Source organism: Homo sapiens, chromosome 2, assembly GCF_000001405.40.
Source record: "Homo sapiens chromosome 2, GRCh38.p14 Primary Assembly".
Lineage (NCBI taxonomy): Eukaryota > Metazoa > Chordata > Mammalia > Primates > Hominidae > Homo > Homo sapiens.
In genome coordinates, this window is record NC_000002.12 from 36,914,422 (window position 1) to 36,935,551 (window position 21,130).

General features: G+C 38.1%; 1 protein-coding gene across 3 annotated transcripts in view; it reads right to left on the reverse strand.

Annotated features, from left to right (window-relative positions):
* Positions 1–21,130, reverse strand: part of STRN (striatin) — a 128,839-nt gene that overhangs the window by 76,724 nt on the left and 30,985 nt on the right. For all 3 annotated transcript variants that reach the window (XM_005264519.6, NM_003162.4, XM_011533073.3), the window contains exons 2-3: positions 10,684–10,787; positions 1,657–1,730 (exon numbers count right to left, since the gene is read on the reverse strand). In XM_005264519.6, the coding sequence (XP_005264576.1) occupies positions 1,657–1,730; positions 10,684–10,787 (178 nt within the window). The remainder of the gene's footprint in view (positions 1–1,656; positions 1,731–10,683; positions 10,788–21,130) is intronic.

Consider the following 21,130-nt stretch of genomic DNA (forward strand, 5'->3'; position numbering starts at 1 on the left):
TAGAACAGTTTTTAACAAATAGCCTAGATTTTTTAAAAATTTATTTTGAAATTTAAGCACATCTCAGGTCACAAGAACAGACACTCAAGTAAAAGACAGAATATTAAAAAACAAAGGAAAAAAACACAGCACTGATCAACTGGCATTGCTCTAGATCTCAAGCATTTAATATTCAGCTGAGGAAATGCATTAATACACTACTACACTGAATTAACTATAAAATTGGCAGTACATTTAGAAGTCATTTTGGAAAGTTCTTTCATACACTGTCAAATACAGAAGCAACATGGTAAAATGGAAAGAATATGAATTTTGGAGTCAGAAAGACCTGGGTTCAGCTCCATATTCTATCATTACTTAATATCTGTGTGACGTTGGGCAAGTTTTTCCACTTCTCTGAGTTTAAATTTCACATATGTAAAATCCAAATAAATATTATCTTTACCAAAGATACTTTACCGAATAACCACTTTAAAATTTAAAGTGAATATGCGGCCGGGCGTGGTGGCTCACGCCTGTAATCCCAGCACTTTGGGAGGCCGAGGGGGGGCGGATCCCGAGGTCAGGAGATCGAGACCATCCTGGCTAACACGGTGAAACCCCGTCTCTATTAAAAATACAAAAAATTAGCCAGGCCTGGTGGTGGGCGCCAGTAATCCCAGCTACTCGGGAGGCTGAGGCAGGAGAATGGCGTGAACCCGGGAGGTGGAGCTTGCAGTGAGCCGAGATCATGCCGCTGCACTCCAGGCTGGGTGACAGAGCAAGACTCCGTCTCAAAAAAAAAAAAAGGAAATTTAAACTGAATACATAAATATATATATATATATATATATATATATATATATATATATAAAGCCTCTAGCACAAGGTACGTATTTCAGTAAATGATATAAATGAACATTAATGTCTTCAGATATCTGATTGGGAAATTTAACCTGAAATTACGCCAGAAACGTACCTATCTGAAACATGGTTGATAACTTTTGATTAATTTTTGTCATTCTTCCCTAATACCTACTAATAAGTGAATTATATCTATATTTCTTAATATCTGATTTACAAGTAATATTTTATATTGTTTGATGGTATGAAGAAGTAGGAAAAAGAAAAAGAAGAAATAATTCAAAAATATAATAAATGGTTCAGCTGTTAAAACATGTTCTAGTTACAGAAACTCCTGTGGACAAGAAAGACCAAAACAGTTTTCCACCTGAAACCGAAGAATTATGTTTTTGGGATGAGGAATTCCTCCATGCTTTAAGAAGAAATCTCTTACCTCCATATTTCCTAATCTTTCTCAGGATTTCAAGAGCATGATGTACTTTGTACTGCACATCTGAAAGTTCCCATTAACTCTGGGCAGACCCAGCAAGACAAGGTTATGCTGGTGCATGTTACCCCATGAACTCTGATCCTTCCAGTAAGTGTAGAACATAAGCAGAAAATGGGGAACTAAAAGAAAGGGGAAGAGGGAAAAGGAAGGAAGGTGGTGGAAAATGATCTAAATGACACTAAATGGTGCCAAAAGACAAGCAGGTCAGAAAAAATAACTAATACACAAATAATTAGAAAGTAACTTACAGTTGTAAATGCTGCTAGAAAATACTAGACATTAACTTCTTTTTAACACTTAAACTTCCATTAAAATTAGCTTACCAGAATCATAGCTTGGAGGCTTCATATCTCCCTGATTCAATTCTGTCCCGTATTTCAACTTGTGGTATTTGGCTCTAACAAAGAAATGAGAAAATACAGACCATCTTAAAATATGTTTAAATTAACATACACAATAGTAGTAGTCACAAGAATTCAGTAGTCCTGGCTGAACACTCCTAGAACTTTCAAAGGCTCATAGCTTTCCATGGTGTCAAAGTTATAATACAAAAGTGCTTGCCTTTTCGTTGTTGCTGTTGTTATACCATCAAGTATCCTTATAACAAAATAAAGGAATAACTCTGGGAATCATTAACTCTTCTTTCTGTAATAACAAAATGAACGATATAACATCCTGGTTTCTGTAGTATTCAAATTTTCCTGATGATTGCCAAAGCTAAATTTTACTATCAAAAACAGTTAAAAAAAAAAAAAAGGTTTGGATTGTGAAATAAATTTGTAGAAGACTTTTCTCAAAAAATTGAGCTTCTTAAAAAAAGAAAAGTCATCTACAATATTATATGACTTGTCAGATAATCATGATTTGCCAAATATGCATTATACTGCACAATCCAAGGGGGAAAACCCCAGCCCAAATCATCAATGTTGAATAAGATATTCCAGTAGAAAGGAATTTTTTTATACTAGTCAAGATATCCCTTGTCTTTTGCTCAAAAAGAACTGTGAATGGGAATACTGTTTTATCTTCTTTTCAAAGTTGACAGAATGTTATCATTCTGGTTAATAGGATTTAACCATCTGATTTAACTATCTCGGATTTAACCATGAGACTAGAAAAATAACCCAGATAATGTAGAAATTTTTAAAAGGGTGACTAAAAATAGCCATATCTGCTTAATCTATTTGCATATTTTCACTTGTTGGCTCCCTAAAATATTGAGGCCATTTATAATAAATATTCAATGTGTTAAGACTGGGACTCTGTGAGAAACACCCAAGAATGATCAATAAAAAAATAAAAAATAAAAATAAATAAAAAAAAAAGACTGGGACATTAATATAAACAACAATTTGAAAAACCAAAATAATAAAGTAATAAAGGAAGCAAAGTGTAACACAGCCAAATTTGAAAGTTTTTTTTTTCTTTATAAAAACCTAATAGAGCACTTACCGTTAGGTTTTTTCATAATTTAAGAAAAGTAGTGGCTGGGCACGGGGGCTCATGCCTGTAATCCTAACACTTTGGGAGGCCAAGGTAGATGGATCACCAGAGGTCAGGAGTTTGAGATCAGCCTGGCTAACATGGTGAAACCCTGTCTCTATCAAAAAATACAAAAATTAGCTAGGCATGGTGGTGTACCTGTAATCCCAGTTACTCGGGAGGCTAAGGTGGGAGAATCACTTAAACCCGGCTGCAGAGGTTGCAGTGAGTGAGCCAAGATCATGCCACTGCACTCCAGCCTGAGTGACACAGTGAGACCCTGTCTCAAAAACAAAAAAAAGAAAAAAAAAAAAAAAGAAAAAAAGAAAAGTAGAAAGGAAATGAAAAATTATTTGCTCAAATGTGTAAAATACTGAAATCTTTCTTATTTTGCAATAATAATCATTTTGCAGTCACAACAGAAAAAAAAGTTTTAGACAGAGAGGAATTCTAAGAAAACCTATGAAAATTATAGGCAGTTGATGTCCTATTTCTTAAGGTAGGTGATGGGTACATGAGTATTTTTTATAACAGTCTTTATATCTTACACGTATGTATGAAATATTTTATAGTAACATTTACACATTAAGAAGGAAAAAAATATATTCATATGCCAATGAACTGATCTCTTAAGCAAAAAGTAAAAGGTACAAAATACTATGTATGTCTCCATACATTTTTTAAAAGATACATATCTATTTCATTAGCCTATGCATATGAATCTTTCTGGAAGGATACATAATACGTAAGATATCAGTTGATAAGATTTCCTTGGGAAAGGAAATCAATGAACTGAGGCAGAAGGGAGACTATTTTTGCTGTTATTTGATTAATTAACTATATAGATACTTAATTTTTAGTAAATATGTTTAGTCCAAATTATTTAGAACATCTATTTTCAATGTGTCTCTTAACCACAAAGATTTTATCACTGGACGAAATGTTTGCCCATCTAGTTCAATGTATTTGTAATACTATTGATCATCAGAAGGTAAGATTTACAGACATTCATCTGACTTGCAGTTACTAGAAAGTAAACAAAGTTCTAAATGTAACTGTCAATCTCTTATTTTTCCAGAAACACACTTCATTTACCATAAGACAAAGTAGTAATACCTGCTAGAAGTCAAAATAGCAACTGAATGTAACTAGTCTGAAGACAGATTATATTAAAGCTTTTAAAATAATAGTAGCAATAAAATGTTATGGAGTTTATATTTTTTATATATATATAAAAGAAAAACATTTTCAAACACAAAATACTGCATTATAGTGCATTCTAGTGGTCTCAGGAAAAACTACAACAGAACCTACAAAAAGGGAACAGAAAATATTTTACAAAAATAAATATAACAAAAACTGTGACACATTATGAACATTTTATTTTAAAAAACAGACAAAGGCAAAAATATGTAAAGAACTGTTGTTTTTATCACAAGCTATGGTCCCTTAAATCAAGGTCTCCCTACTGAATTGTTACATTCACTAAAATATATTTTTCTCACAGAACCCTCCTTATGCTTAATAGCATTCCTTTTTAAGTCAATATGTGAAAATACCTTCTCATTCATACCGTTTTCCACTGTTTTAACACTCAGCTCACTGTGTTAACCAATCTTTCTTGTTTGCTATTCTTTTTCTGTCTAATTCTGCCTATAAGATAAAAAAGCAGATCTTATATCTAGCAACTCCATGTTTGATACACAGGTAGGCCCTCCATAAATGACCTTTATTGGATAAAAGTAGCATAAAAATTGCTTAATAACTATAATACACTAAAGAAGAGTAATTTTAGCTTTGTTTCAAAGCCTATTATTATACATATTATGCTAGGAGTATAACAGCATCTCAATTATATCTTAAATGTGGATGCTAAAAATAATTTGATTAATTTCAATGAACTATTACTGAATTCCTATGATTTACAGGCACTGTGCTGGCTGCTGGGACAACCTACAGCTTGTAGTTAGGTAAGGGTGGAAGGTGAGGGTATGCGTAAGAGACAGGAATGTAAATAACTACAGCATACTGTGTAAGAGCTATAAGGGCTACTAGCAAGTATTACAAGAATGCAGATAAGGGATTATCTAATCTAATTCGGTCAAAACTGGTGTCAAAGAAAGCTACCAAAAAGAAGGTAACACGTGAGATTTTAGCTAAATCTCAAAATACCAGTGGGAGTTTTCCAATCAAAATGGATTGATGGAGAGGGCATTTCTGTCAGAAGGGACATCTTAAGTGGAAGAAAAAAAAAACACACACAGTGGGTCAAAAAACAGCAGACAGAATAATTACACCCAAAAGGTATGGAAGGAATGGAGACAGAGAAGGGACAGAAAGGGCCTGGCTGTGAAGAACTTTACTAAGAACGTGAAATTAGCTAGATATTTTTAAACACGGATATAACAGAATTATCATATTTGTGTTTTAGAAAATGAATTCTACGGATATGGAAGACGAATTAAAATATGGAAATACTAGAAGCAAGGAGGACAGTTAAGTTACTACAGTAGGGTAGATAAAAGTAGCAGTGAATAGAGAGAAATTTTAAAAATGGCAGAAATTTTTCAGAATTGTATTTATATAGTATTTGAGGTTCCTCAACATAGATGTTCCTAAGTCAACCTCAGATTATACACTATGTAATCTTGAAAATTTATATTAAATTTTATCACACATTAAGGAATGCTTTGATAAATCCACTGCTAGGTAAGTAATTCTTCTGTAATATTAATAATTCGGTTTTACTTTTGGATCCTAAAGTGGGACTACTTAGAAAATCTGCAAAAATCATGCAAAGAAAATCATGTAAAATCATGATCTTTACTTAGGCATTTACAGCTGAAATGAATTACAAGGTATCTGGAATTGCATTAAAATAGATCAAGGTGAAAAAGACTGACAAAAACATTAACTGTTAAAACTTGGGGCTGTATATAAAAGACATTAGTTTCTCTATGAGTATATTTCAAATTTTCCTCAATAATTTTTTTTAAAATTCAATTTAAAATTCAAGCCACAAATAAATGCTTTTTAAAAATGTCTTAGATTATACAAATAGTGCCATAACATCAAGAATAATCCCAAATCATTCCATATACTTCAAAAGAAACAAAACCAGGCTGGGCGCGGTGGCTCACACCTGTAATCCCAACACTTTGGGAGGCCGAGGTGGGCAGATCACCTGAGGTTGGGAGTTCGAAACCAGTCTAACCAACATGGAGAAACCCCGTCTCTAACAAAAATACAAAATTAGCCAGGTGTGGTGGTGTATGCCTGTAATCCCAGCTACTGGGGAGGCTGAGGCAGGATAATCTCTTGAACTCGGGAGGTGCAGGTTGCAGTGAGCTGAGATCGTGCCATGGCACTCCAGCCTGGGCAACAAGAGCAAAACTCCGTCTCAAAAAAAAAAAAAAAAAGACACAAAAGCAGGAACTCTTTTCCAGGAGCAATCCCATTTAGTTAAGAAAGAGAAGAAAAAAATCTTCCCTAGATTCAGCCAGTTCCTTATCTCTACTGTCCTTCAGAGTCAAATTTCCTAAAAAAAATAAGCAACTCTGCCAGGCGCGGTGGCTCACGTCTGTGATCCCAACACTTTCGGAGGCCAAGGCGGGCGGATCACAAGGTCAAGGGATCGAGACCATCCTGGCCAAGATGGTGACACCCCATCTCTACTAAAAATACAAAAATTAGCCCAGTGTGGTGGTAAACGCCTGTAGTCCCAGCTACTCAGGAGACTGAGGCAAGAGAATGGCTTGAACCCAGGAGGCAGAGGCTGCAGTGAGCCGATATCACACCACTGCACTCCAGCCTGGTGACAGAGCAAGGCTCTGTCTCAAAGAAAAAAAAATAATAATAATATAAGCAACTCCATCTCTCCCCACTTCATCCTTCTCAGCCCTCGATCCTCTGTGATCTGGCTCATGTTCCTGCTGCCTTACTGAGGCTGCTTTAGTAAGGGTACCAATAAGCTTCCAACTGGCCACTCCAAATGACTATTTTCAGTATACAACTTACTTGGAGTCTACTTAGCATCTTCAGTTATTGAACTCCCTCCTTTAACTCACTTCCAAAATACTACTCTCTCCTCCTTCCTTCTCTATTTCTTTGTTGGCTCTTCTTCCTCTGCCTTCTCTTCAAATATTTCTACTTCCTGTCACTCCTTCTAGTTCTCTCTTGTTTCCCCAATACTTGTTCTATCAACTACTCCTTTCACTTCACTCACAATAATACTGATGATTCCCAAGCATATATTTCTCATCATGCGTCCCCTTCACATATCTGCTCTTTAATTCTTCTTTTTAATTCATTTGATACCTTCTAAAAGTCTCTCATAATTCAGATAGTCCTTCAAGCCAGGAACCTGGGAGTCATTCTCAAATTATCTTTCTCATTCACCCACTGTCCCATCTCCAAATTTTTATATAAGCTTCAGATTTCATGGACTCTACTTAAAATTTTTTTTTTGTTGATGTGTCTATTTCAGCAGCTACTGTGTTATCATTTCTCATCTTAGACTATTACAATCTTTCTGCCTGTGTTTAGAGATCTTTCCAGTCCACCCCCACACTGAGGTCAGGAGATCTTTCTAAAATGTATTTCATACTCTATCTTGCTTAAAACTTTCAAGTGCTTAACAACTAAATGCAGTATATATTTCCAGATTGGATCCTGGACCAGGAAAAAAAAATGCTATAAAGATCACTTTTAGAACATCTGAATATAGACTATATCAGATAATAGAATATCAATGTTACATTTCTTTAATTTGGTAATATACTATAATCATATAAGGAAATGTCCTTGCTCTTAGGAAATATACACAGAGGTAGTTAGGGACAAACTAGCAAATGATTTAGGGGAAAAAAATGGTACCTATAGAGAGAGCAAACACAATAAAGCAAATATAGCAAATCATTTTCAATTGGTGAATCTGGGTAAAGGGTATACAAGATTCTTGCAACTCCTCTATTAGAGGTCATTTTAGATAAAATTTTTTTGGCTGGGCATGGTGACTCACGCCTATAATCACGGCACTTTAAGAGGCTACAGCAGGAGGACTGCTTGAGCCCAGGAGGTCCAGACCAGCCCTGGGAACAGGGCGAGACCCTGTCTCTCTAAAAAATTAAAAATTTATCTGTGTGGACTGGAGTATATCTGTATTCCCAGCCACTTGGGAGGCTGAAGTGGGAGGATCACTTGTGCCCAGAAGGCTGACACCGCAGTGAATCATGACTGTGCCACTGCACTACAGCCTAGGCAACAGAGCAAGACCCTGTCTCAAAAAAAAAAAAAAAAAAAAAAATTAAACCTCCCACATTCCCTGTTACATGTAAGATAAAAGTTTGAACTCCTTGGTTAGGCTCTCTATGATCTGACTCTTGCCCCCTCTACCATTATCCGTCATCAACTGAGAGGAGGACCACAACCAACATCCTACTCTCCACACACAAAGATTACAAATTTCTGAACACACCAAACTGCTTTGTTCCATGTCAAACATGTTCTCTCTACTTCCTGCACCTTGTCTGTCTGACAAACACCTTCTTATTTGATGCTATTCAAGCCTCACCTCCTCTTACTCTGCACTCCTTTCTACTTTCATCTTCCAGATGAAAATAACCACTCCGGGCCGCACGCGGTGGCTCACGCCACCCAGCACTTTGGGAGGCTGAGGCAGGCGGATCACGAAGTCAAGAGATCGAGACCATCCCAGTCAACATGGTGAAACCCCGTTTCTACTGAAAATACAAAAATTAGCTGGGCATGGTGGCAAGCTCCTGTAATCCCAGCTACTTGGGAGGCTGAGGCAGGAGAATTGCTTGAACCCAGGAGGTGGAGGTTGCAGTGAGCCAAGATCGTACCACTGCACTCCAGCCTGGCAACAGAGCAAAACTCCGTCTGAAAAAAAAAAAAAAATCTCAAATACTCGGCCAGGTACATTCGCTCACGCCTGTAATCCCAGCACTTTGGGAGGCTGAGATGGTGGATTACCTGAGGTCAGTAGTTCGAGACCAGTCTGACCAATATGGTGAAACCCTGTCTCTACTAAAAATGCAAAAAAATTAGCCAGGCATGGTGGCATGCGCCTGTAGTCCCAGCAACTCGGGAGGCTGAGACAGGAGAATTGCTTGAGCCCAGAAGGCGGAGGTTGCAGTAAGCCGAGATCACACCACTGCACTCCAGCCTAGGCAACAAAGCAGGACTCCAAAAAAAAAAAAAAAAAAACAACTCACTACTCCCAAATTATGTACTTTTAAAAGTGTTTTTTCTTTCCATGTCCCTAATACAGCTTTTCATCAACTTTCCCAAAGTATGAAAAGAAACACGTATTTTTCACTAAGAGGTCAACCTATTTTCAATCTCTTACACCATTTAAAGATTCTACATGATGATGAACACAAGTTCTAATAAAATTTTATCTATTTCTCATTATTCATAAATATCATCTATTTATCTAATTGCATCTAAATGCTATTTTATTGCAAATATCCCATTCACCAACTTCAAAAAGAGAAAAACAAAACAAGCATCATTAAAAACAAAGCAAAAAAGTAGCAAAATAGATAATTCCAATATCACCTATAAGTACTCAGTTATCTAAAAAAAAATGAACTCAGATTGTCGACAAAAAAATCCAAGGCCCATTCATTAAAGCAAATAAATAACTCATATAACTTCCAAAAATCTCACTCATGACCTATTTTCCTTTACTTGTGACCCAAATTTAGTTACTGGAGTATCTTAGACACTAGCAAAATAGAAAGGTAAGATAAGCTTCTGGAGAGATTGTAACGGCAGACAGCAGAGGAACAAAATACACAAAAAAAAGTCTATAGGCTGGGCATGGTGGCTCACGCCTGTAATCCCAGCACTTTGGGAGGCCGAGACGGGGGGATCACGAGGTCAGGAGATCAAGACCATCCTGGCTCACATGGTGAAACCCCATCTCTACCAAAAATACAAAAAATTAGCCAGGCGTGGTGGCGGGCACCTGTAGTCCCAGCTACTTGGGAGGCTGAGGCAGGAGAATGGTGTGAACCCGGGAGGTGGAGCTTGCAGTGAGCTGAGATTGCACCACTGCACTCCAGCATGGGCGACAGAGTGAGACTCCGTTTCAAAAAAAAAAAAAAAAAAGTCTATATAGAATCTTAACATAGTCTGCTGGAACAATTTTTTTCTAAAGAAAATACATCAAATTGAATAATATTAAATGACAGGAAAAGGAAACACTATAGAAATTTCCTTTAAAAATTAAAAACTATTTCAACTTTAAAATGAATGGGTATTAACAGTTCGGGGAGCATATTTGCTTCTTCAAAACAGGCAGAGTAGGAAAAAAATGTTGCTAATTTTTAAGAAATCACATAAATCAGTTTTTTGATCATTATTAAACTATTCATAATAAAATTAACATATTACAACCATTCATACAAATGTTTACTACAGATACACCTGAACTCAAGGAGTATGAACATTTAAATTTATTTTAGGAATGATGAAAAAAATTATTCCAACATTTAAGAGACCACCATTTTGGCCAGGCCCAGTGGCTCACACCTGTAATCCCAGCACTTTAGGAGGCCGAGGTGGGCAGATCACCTGAGGTCAGGAATTCGAGACCAGCCTGACCAACATGGGGAAACCATGACTCTACTAAAAATACAAAATTAGCTGGGTGTGGTGGCACATGCCTATAATCCCAGCTACTGGGGAGGCTGAGGCAGGAGAATTGCTTGAAACCGGGAGGCGGAGGTCGCGGTGAGCCAAGATCGTACCATTGCACCCCAGCCTGGGCAACAAGAACGAAACTCCGTCTCAAAACAAATAAACAAAAAAGAACACCACTTTTCATTTTACTGAATTACCTTTCCTGTTTAAGAGCATACTCCAACATTTTGATCCTCCTCACAAGATCCTTCTTCAAATTTTCTTGGCCCTTCCTTTCTCCCTGCAGGAAGGCAATCTGGGCCTGAGTAGGGGAAAGACAGAAAAAATTCAGTTTAGACCAAAAAAAAAAGTTTTTTTAACTCAGTAAAGAACCATTGGAAGTTTGAACAATTAGATGCAAAAATATTTCCTTTACACATTTCTCACAAAGTATGTACAAATATAAAAATGCACTGACTGCAAGGGGGAAAAAGGATTTAAGTTAAAAAGGGCTGGGGGGACATCTAAATGCATTTTACTTCAGGGTAGGGATTTTACAACACATAGTCCACATCATTTAAGAGTCTACAATATAAAACAACTAATATTGCCGGATGCGGTGGCTCACACCTGTAATCCCAGCACTTTGGGAGGCTGAGGCGGGTGGATCACTTGAGGTGAAGAGTTCAAGACCAGCCTGGCCAACATGGTGAAACCCTGTCTCTACTAAAAATACAAAAATTAGCTGGGCCTGGTGGCACCTGTAATCCCAGCTACTCGGGAGGCTTAGGCAGGAGAATTGCTTGAACCCAGGAGGCAGGGGTTGCAGTAAGCCGAGATCACGCCTCTGCACTCCATCCTGGGTAACAGAGTGAGACTCCATATCAAAAAATAAAATAAAACAACTAATATTAATGCAAACAAATGCAAGGTGTACAGTACAGTTTGCTAAAGTGTTTGTCTTTTTGCCATCAACAGGATCTTTTTATAAAGCAGGAAGGGTTAAAGTAAAATCAGTTCTTATAATCCCCTTGCACAAGCTTCATCATATATTTAAATTTTATGACAGATTCCTTAAGTGACTTTATTTTGGACCTCCCCTACAAACAATAAATTGCTCCCTTTTCTCAATCCCCACCATTTTTCTCACCCACCTTGACATGTAATCCATAGAAAAAAGAAAGTGAAAGTTGGGAAAAGGAAAATTAGAGACAATGGCCTTCTGCCCATTCCTGCCCCCCACCCCAAGGAATTACTAAAACCCTACATTTGAACATGAAACGAACTGTAAACAACTTTTAAAGTCAGTAAAACAGAGGGGTAGGAAAGAGTAGCTCTCCAGAATATTAAAAGAACATTGACAATTGAAATACTATCTTTCACATAAGAAATTGAAACTATGTCACAAACACTAACTTGTTAAAGTGACTCATAATACCTCTTAAAAGTCATAAGGGCCTCAAAACTAGCTATAAATTTCACTATTCTCACATGTACCACCACGTCCGTCTATTATACTGACCCACTAAGACAGGTAACAATGTTATTTATGTATCTACAGTGCTTTCCATTAAGTGAGCAAGAACTTTACATTTAAGGATGACCTTGCCACATCCCTAAGGAATTGTGAGGATTGTGCAACTAAGGTTTAGCAAGTGAGCCATTAAACTTAATTCTCATTCAAGCTTAGTTTGAATGAGCTTTGTTCCTATTCAGTACCACAAGAAACATAAAATCCAACTTATCTAGTCTCTTATAACTTTCAAAATGTAGGTAGTTTGTTAGGCTTTTGTTTTCATTTCAATGTGCTCTTAAATTTTACATTACAATTAAAGGAAGGATTACATTTACCTTACTGAAATAAAAGTGGTCTGAAAACAATTCAATTGTTTTCAGAGGAAAAGGCATCAAATAACCACAAGACTCTTTTGAAATTATATATTCTGCAGTGGGATAATTATGTTACCTAACCAGAATAGTAATGACACATGCATTTAAAGCTGATAAAAATGAAAGTCGTGTCAAAAGGAAATGACAGCCCAACTTGTCATTTCCAAATGTTTGTCTATGCCAAACGTGCTTTGGCATAGAACTTTATATGCTCTTTAAAATGACTTTAATAAAAATAATAAGCTAATCAATGCAATCAAACTTTGAAGGTAATAACAATATCAATTATCTATTTTGTCCCCTCGATACTCCTTGGCTAGTTTTGCATTTCTGCTAACATCATTGGTCCTGGATGATTCTGAAACTTCAGCCTACAATACCATAAAGTCTTTACTGTATATGTTCAACTTCAAGCATAAGAGAAATTACAATTAAAAGTATAATCAGAGGCTGGGCACAGTGGCTCAGCCCTGTAATTAACAGCACTTTGGGAGGCCGAGGCGGGTGGATAACTTGAGCTCAGGAGTTTGAGCCTAGCCTGTGCAACATAGCGAGACCACGTCCCCACAAAAAATTTAAAAAATCAGCCAGGCATGGTGGCATGTGTCTGTGGTCCCAGCTACTTGGGAGGCTGAGGCAGGAGAATCACCTCAGCCCAGGAGGCCAAGGCTGCAGTGAGCAGTGATCACACCACCACACTCTAACATGGGTGACAGAGTGAGACCCTATATCAAAAAAACAAAAAAAAGGGGGGGGGGGGTGGTAATCAGGGCCAGGCATGGTAGCTAATACCTGTAATCCCAGAACTTTGGGAGACTGAGGTGAGAGGATAGCTTGAGGCTGGAGTTTGAGACCATCCTGGCCAACATACCAAGACATCTCATAAAAAAATTAAAAATATAAAAAATAAAGTACAATCAGATTTCTTCTTTTCCATCAGATGGATAAAGTTCAGTAATTTAATAATATGGTAAAAAACAGACATTTAAATGTTAGCTGTGGTGATATAAACCAGTTTCACTTTATAGAGGACAACTGGTAATATCTGTCAAGTTTGTAAATGCATATACCCTTTAACTCAGCAATTTTAGAATGGTATCCTTCAAATATATATTTGCACATATGTGAAATTATGTAATACATGACTGATAAAACACAGACAAGAATATGTATACAACCCAAATGACCACCTAAAGGAGACTGGTTAAATAAATGAATATAATTGAAAGAAAATTAGGACCTGAACTAAGACCTTTGAGAAAAGAGTAAAAGACTATGAGAATAATGTCAATCTTTTACCTTTTTTTTCTCTAGGAAACTTAGATATTAGAAACAGTCTTAAAACACATTCCTACATAAAAAAAAACGAATTCCTTCTGTAAAACGACCTCAGTCGAAAGCATAATAATTGGTATAAATTCTTACTCTTTTAAAATAAAGATTAAATTCCAGCTAAAAATTCTCCAGATATGGCAGTATATTGCTCTTTGAATTGAATTGAGGAAGGGCGAGGGTGAGAGACATAAAAGACGAAAACAGCAAAAGGAAGAAAAAAAGGGAAGGAAAAAAGGTAAAAAGAAAAAGAGGAAAATAGGTCGGACACAGTGGCTCACACCTGTAATCCCAGAACTTTGGGAGGCCGAGGCGGGGGGATCACTTGAGGTCAAGAGTTCGAGACCAGCCTGGCCAACATGGTGAAACCCTGTCTCCACTAAACATACAAAAATTAGCCAGGCATGGTGGCAGGCACCTGTATTCCCAGCTACTTGGAAGACTGAGACAGAAGAATCACTCAAACCCAGGAGGCGGAGGTTGCAGTGTGCAGAGATCACACCACTGCACTCCAGCCTGGGCGACACAGTGAGACTCCATCTTAAAAAAAAAAAGGCAGGGCGCAGTGGCTCACTCCTGTAATCCCAGCACTTTGGGAGGCCGAGGCGGGTGGATCACGAGGTCAGGAGTTCAAGACCAGCCTGACCAAGATGGTGAAACCCCATCTCTACTAAAAATACAAAAAAAAAAATTAGCCGGGCGTGGTGGCAGGTGCCTGTAATCCCAGCTACTTGGGAGGCTGAGGCACAGAATTGCTTGAACCCAGGAGGCAGAGGCTGCAGTGAGCCGAGACCACGCCACTGCACTCCAGCCTGGGCAACAGAGTGAGACTCCGTCTCAAAAAAAAAAAAAAAAAAGTGACATGAATAAAATGTTTAAAAAATTACAAATCATCATACTGCCATTTATCAGTACAACTAAACCTAATAACAGCATATACTTCTGGAGAAGAAAACTTTGGAATTATCTTCAAGGAAAATGAATGTTGAACTTCCATGATACTTTATACGTATTTTTCACAGTATAGAAAATTATTCACTTCCTAACCATTATAAACAAAAAAGATAAAAATAATAGAAGGAAGACATTTTACTATTTAAGTCTGCATGACAAAAAGAAAATTTATTTTTGTATTATTTTCAATTCTAATTTGTCAAAAGGATATATGTAAATAGGAATATAGATCTTCTATAAACAGGTTTATCTGCATACATAATATCTAATAAACAATTAAAATATTTAAAATGCACCATTTAATTTATTAAAGCCCCCCCACCCCTTTTTTTTTCTTTTGAGACGGAGTCTCGCTCTGTCGCCCAGGCTGGAGTGCAGTGGTGCGATTTCGGCTCACTGCAACTTCAGCCTCCCAGGGTCGAAGTAATTCTCCTACCTCACCCTCCTGAGTAGCTGGGATTACAGGTGCACACCACCACGCCAAGCTAATTTTTGTATTTTTAGTAGAGACAGGGTTTTACCATGTTGGTCAGGCTGTTCTCAAACTCCTGACCTCGTGATCCACCCACCTCAGCCTCCCTAAGCGCTGGGATTACAGGTGTGAGCCACCACGCCCAGCCTTATTGAAGCCATTTTAAACTACCTTGTATTCTAAAATTTAAAAGGGCTAGGATTCAAAATTGAAATCACTGAGAAGTAAATTCAAAATGAAAAATACACAAAATTCTTGGGTTGGACACTTTTCAGTAGCTTTTCAGTTACTTGCTATGGAATATAAAGAGCATTCACTTTTACAAAAATCTAAAATAAAATATTATAAAGCTTGATTAATTTAAGGTTCTCATCTTTTGATTTGAACACAAACTTCAAAGTAAAAGAGGAAATATATAAGTAAAAGTCAATTATATGGTTACAGTGTACAATGAAGTTTCAATAATCGCTTTATGTCTTAATGCCTTCTATAAACTATATCTATTCCCTCTGAAAAGCTTTGGATTATATTATCCTCTTAAATCTAGGCTGCTAGTTTTCTCTGGCACATAATCACTGCCTGTAGCCCTCTCTCTTAAAGACAGTGTCATTATCAGGCTAGGCGCGGTGGTTCATGCCTGTAATCCCAGCACTTTGGGAGACCGAGGCAGGTGGATCACCTGAGGTCAGGAGTTCGAGACCAGCCTGACCAGTATGATGAAACCCCATCTCTACTAAAAATACAAAAATTAGCCAGGCATGGTGGCGTGTGCCTGTAGTCCCAGCTACTCAGGAGGCTGAGACAGGAAAATTGCTTGAACCTGGGAGGTGGAAGTTGCAGTGAGCCAAGATCATGCCACTGCACTCCAGAATGGGCAACAGAGCGAGACTCCATCTCAAAAAAAAAAAAAAAGTGTCATTATCATTTGGTGACATCAAACTTTACCATCAGAATCACCCAGATGACTTGTTAAAACACAATTTTTTAGGTTCTACCCTCAGAGTTGCTCATTCAGTAGGTCTGGAGTGGGGCCCAAGAATTTGCATTTCTAGTAAGTACCCAGGTGATAATGCTGCTGATCTGGGACCAACCTTGGAGAACCACTGACTTAAACCGTTTGTAACACAGTTAGGAGGCCAAAAACAAAAAACAAAGCAAAACAAAACAAAAAGCAGGAAACAGTCTGTTAAGGAGCAAGGAAAAGAACAGTCCCAGAGGCCGGGCGCAGTGGCTCAGGCCTGTAATCCTAGCACTTTGGGAGGCCGAGACGGGTGGATCACTTGAGGTCAGGAGTTCTTAACCAGCCTGGCCAACATGGTAAAACCCCCATCTCTACTAAAAATATAAAAAAATTAGCCAGGTGTGGTGGCAAGCGCCTGTAATCCCAGCTACTCTGGCTCAGGCAGGAGAACTGCTTGAACCTGAGAGGTAGAGGTTGTGGTGAGTCGAGATCATGCCACTGCACTCCAGCCTGAATGACAGAGCAAAATTGCCTCAAAAAAAAAAAGAAAAAGAAAGAAGCAAAGAATAGTCCCAGAACCCTACCTCTTTTTTTTCCCCAAAGTGTTGAGATTACAGGTGTGAGCTATCGCGTCCAGCCCCAGAACCCTACCCTTTTTACTCCACAGAAGTTTGGAGTCTTATACAGGCCTTCAAGCTGACAGACGAGTACATACTAGCTTTTTGATTCTCTTCCAAATTCCTTAGTTATGACTATACTTTTGGCAGTCTCCTGATAAAATAAAATCTACCAATATATTTCAGTTCAATCACATGTTTGGGAAATACCTACTTCCCATCAAGTCTAAACTGCTGTAAAGGAGAATATAGGAAAAACAAATAAAACCAAGTTTCTACCCACAATGTACTTCCAATCTCGTTAGGGTACAAGACCAGCTTGTACACAAGCTGTGTTATGTTCACAAAAACAGCTAAGAAAAGATAGTGCAGTACTAATAAACGAGGATTCAAGTGATAAAATCAAATATTTGTATTTGTTCATTTAACAATATTAACTAAACACCTACTTTGTGCCTGGCAGTTATTGGTACTGGGACTAAAGTAGTGACAAAACAAAACAGAGCTAACAATCCAGTGAATGAAACATATGTTGCCTAAGACATATGTGTACCAGTAGCATATGTTATATTTACTTAGAACCAGAAACACAGTTGCAGGCAAAAGCAGTGAATATAAAAATAAACACAAAAAGCAACTGGATGCCTATTTAACTCTGGAGTCAAGTAGAGAACTGATGTTCAACTTTAAAACTGCTTGCTTGCTTGCTTATTCATTTATTTGTTTATTTATTTGAGACAGGGTCTCGCTCTGTTGCCCAGGCTGGAGTGCAGTCATAGCTCACAGCAGCCTCGAAATCCTGAACTCAATCAATTCTCCCGCCTCAGCCTCCCAAGTTGCTGGGACTATAGGCGCATACGACCACATGCAGCTGATTTTAATCTTTTTGGTAGAGACAGGGTCTTGCTATGTTGCCAGGCTGGTCTCGAACTCCTAGCCTCAAGCAATCCTCTCACCTTGGCCTCCCAAAGTGCTGGAAATACATGCATAAGCCACTGCACCAAGCCTAAAAACTGTATTCTAATCTGGTATTTATTCTACAGCTAGTTTTACTTTTTTTTTGAGACAGTCTCACTCTGTTGCCCAGGCTGGAGTACAGTGGCGTGATCTCGGCTCACTGCAACCTCCACCTCCCGGGTTCAAGCAATTCTCCTATGTCAGCCTCCAGAGTAGCTGGGATTACAGGCACCCGCCACTGCGTCTGGCTAATTTTTGTATTTTTAGTAGAGACAGGGTTTCACCGTGTTGGCCAGGCTGGTATCAAACTCCTGACCTCGGGTGATCTGCCTGCCTCGGCCTCCCAAAATGCTGGGATTACACGCGTGAGCCACCGCACCCGGCCTAGTTTCACATTTTAACAAACTAGTCAGTCTCCTGAAATTTTCCTAATAAATAAAATTACTGTACCATTTTATTTATTTACCTATTGTCACATTTCAAAAAAAGATAAGATGTGAACTTATGGATTATATTGAAAATAAAGATAAATTTCATTTTATGTTTTTTAGAGATGAGGGTCTCTCTTTGCTGCCAGGTTAGGAGTACAGTGGCATGATCATAGTTCACTACAGCCTTGAACTCCCGGGCTCAAGTGATCCTTCTAGATAACATTTTACCTCTGAAATGCTATAGGAGATACTGGTATATTCTTTCAAAAGCAATCTCTCCATCCCTAAATGTAAGATTACAAACATAGATTTTCGTATACAGAAAACCCTCAACTGCCCAAATTCTCACTTAAAGCACTAAATTAATTACACCCACATTATCACCTTATGGCAGCTTATAAATAAATGTACATCAGTAGGTTTCTTGAGATCCCAAAGGCTCCCTCAGAACTCGAATCAGTCAGTTAAATTCCCTCAGCACATCTTCCTATCTTTCACCTCTTTATAAATGTTCCTTATGTTTGCTCAAAGGGCTAGAAATTCCATTTTTTTTTAATTTACACACACACACACACACACACACACATATATATGCAGTTAGCCCTTCATATCCATGAGTTCTACACCTGCAGATTCAGTCAACCATCTATCAAAAACATTCAATAAACAATAAATACAAAATTTTAAAAATACAGTATAACAACTTTTCACAGCATTTACATTAAGTATTATAAATAATCTAGAGATGATTTAAAGTATATGGGAGGGTGTGCATAGTTTATATGCAAATACTACACCACCTTATATAAGAAAATTGGAACTTGAGCATCCACAGTTTTTTGTATTGGATGGGGGAGTTCCCGGAACCAATACCCTACAGACATCAAAGGATAACTGTATATGTACATATACACATATGTAGAAGAAAAGAGAGAATAAGATATCAATCAAGGGAGGAATTCTGCAGATTTACGGTATGAGACAGTATGATATTCATAGATTTAACATTCATGGTTACCACTGTTTTGAGAGCTACCCAGAAGATACTTTGTTAAGGCAATGGAGAAGCTAGAGGCCCAATGTAGGGGCTAAATGCATGAGTCTAGCCTAACACCAAGCATTTGTTTTTGGAAGTTTTTTTGAGACAGGGTTGGAGTGCAATGGCACGATCACAGCTCACTGTAGTCTTGACCTCCTGGGCTCAGGCGATTCTCCTGCTTCAGCCTCTCGAGGAGCTGGGCCCACAGGTGTGTGCTGCCATGCCCAGCCAAGCATTTGTATTAAAGTTAAAAGGCGATGACTCTAAACAGTTTAAGAAAAAAAACTAGGCTGGGCACGGTGGCTTAACCTTGTAACCCCTGCACTTTGGGAGGCCGAGGCAGGTGGATCACCCGAGGTCAGGAGTTTGATACCAGCCTGGCCAACACGGCGAAACCCTGTCTCTACTAAAAATACAAAAAAATTACCCGGGTGTGGTGGCGGGCGCCTGTAGTCCCAGCTACTCTGGAGGCTGAGGAAGAATGGCGTGAACCTAGGAGGCAGAGCTTGCAGTGAGCAGAGATCACGCCACTGCACTCCAGCCTGGGTGACAGAGGGAGACTCCGTCTCGAAAGAAAAAAGAAAAAAAACTAAATCTATTGATGTAAAATGCTCTCTGCCCCCACAAAGAAAGAAAAATGTAAGGACTAAGAAAATGGCAGCTCTTAACCAGAAAAAGAACAGAAATGTTCTATATCTCCCCCATCAAAAATCAGTGAACTAATTCAGCAAATGCTCCAACCTGAGCAAAAAGGATTCAAGTGAAATAAAACCTTCATTAAAGTTGAAAAGGATATTAACTTGTAGAATATGCGTACATGTAAGAAACATAACATTACTCTCAATGGAAATATAATTCAGATAAGGAATTCCACAAAAAGATGTCTTAATCTTAAAATCTGAGGATTTACAGAGCTCTCAGAAAGCATTACTTGCAAATGATAAGTCTTCTATAACGTATGATTTTGTTTATGGTTAGCTCCAAAAGAGTTAACATGTTTTAAACCAACATGATTATCTGTTGATAGGTATATAATCTCTAAAGAAGTATTCTTCAATAGGCAACACTTCTCATATTTAAAACATTCAGTCTTTATGTATAAATTATGAATCCATAAATCTTAAGGAACTACATAAAGCCCAAACTCTTCCCAACGGAAGAAGGCTATCGACAATCTGTTCCCATCCCCTCTATCTAGTTTTGTCTTCCACATTCCTACTCACACATCCTATGTTCCAATCAAAGTAGTCAATTAGGCTGGGCACGGTGGCTCATGCCTGTAATCCCAGCACTTTGAGAAGCCTAGATGGATGGATCACTTGAACTCAGGAGTTTGAGTCCAGCCATGGGCAAGATGGTGAAACCCCGTCTCTACTGAAAATACAAAAATTAGCCCGGTGTGGTGGCTCAAAACTGCAGCCCCAGCTACTCGGGAGGCTGAGGCACAAGAATCGCTTGAATTTGGGAGGCAGAGGTTGCAGTGAACTGAGACTACACCACTGTGCTCTAGCCTGGGCAACAGAGGGGAGGATGGTGGGCAAAGGAAGGAACGAAACTCATAATTTTATATTTTTAAAAAAATAAGTAGACAGTTAGTCTTCAGATACTACACCTGAACATTCCCAGCTCCATGCCTTGGCTTATGCCCTTCTCTCTCCTACCTCTCCAAATGCCCTTTCATTTTCGGATTCTACCAATGTCCTAGTCTGAGCCTACACACACCACAGTAATCCCTTCTCTGAATTCCAAGAGCATTTCTTATTTTCTATTTAAAAACAAAACAAAAAAACCTCTGTATGTACATATTATTTTAACACTTTATGAGACTTATATTAATGTTCAGCAAAAAGGCAAGAAAATAAGGACTTTGGCATACTTAATATGTATCACGTACTCTACCAAACACCTTCTATAATTAATCTCATTTAATTAGGACTATGACATAATTATTGTCTTGTTCTCTTTTAATTTTCAGAATGTTCACAATTTATCTCATCCCAAACCAGATAAGC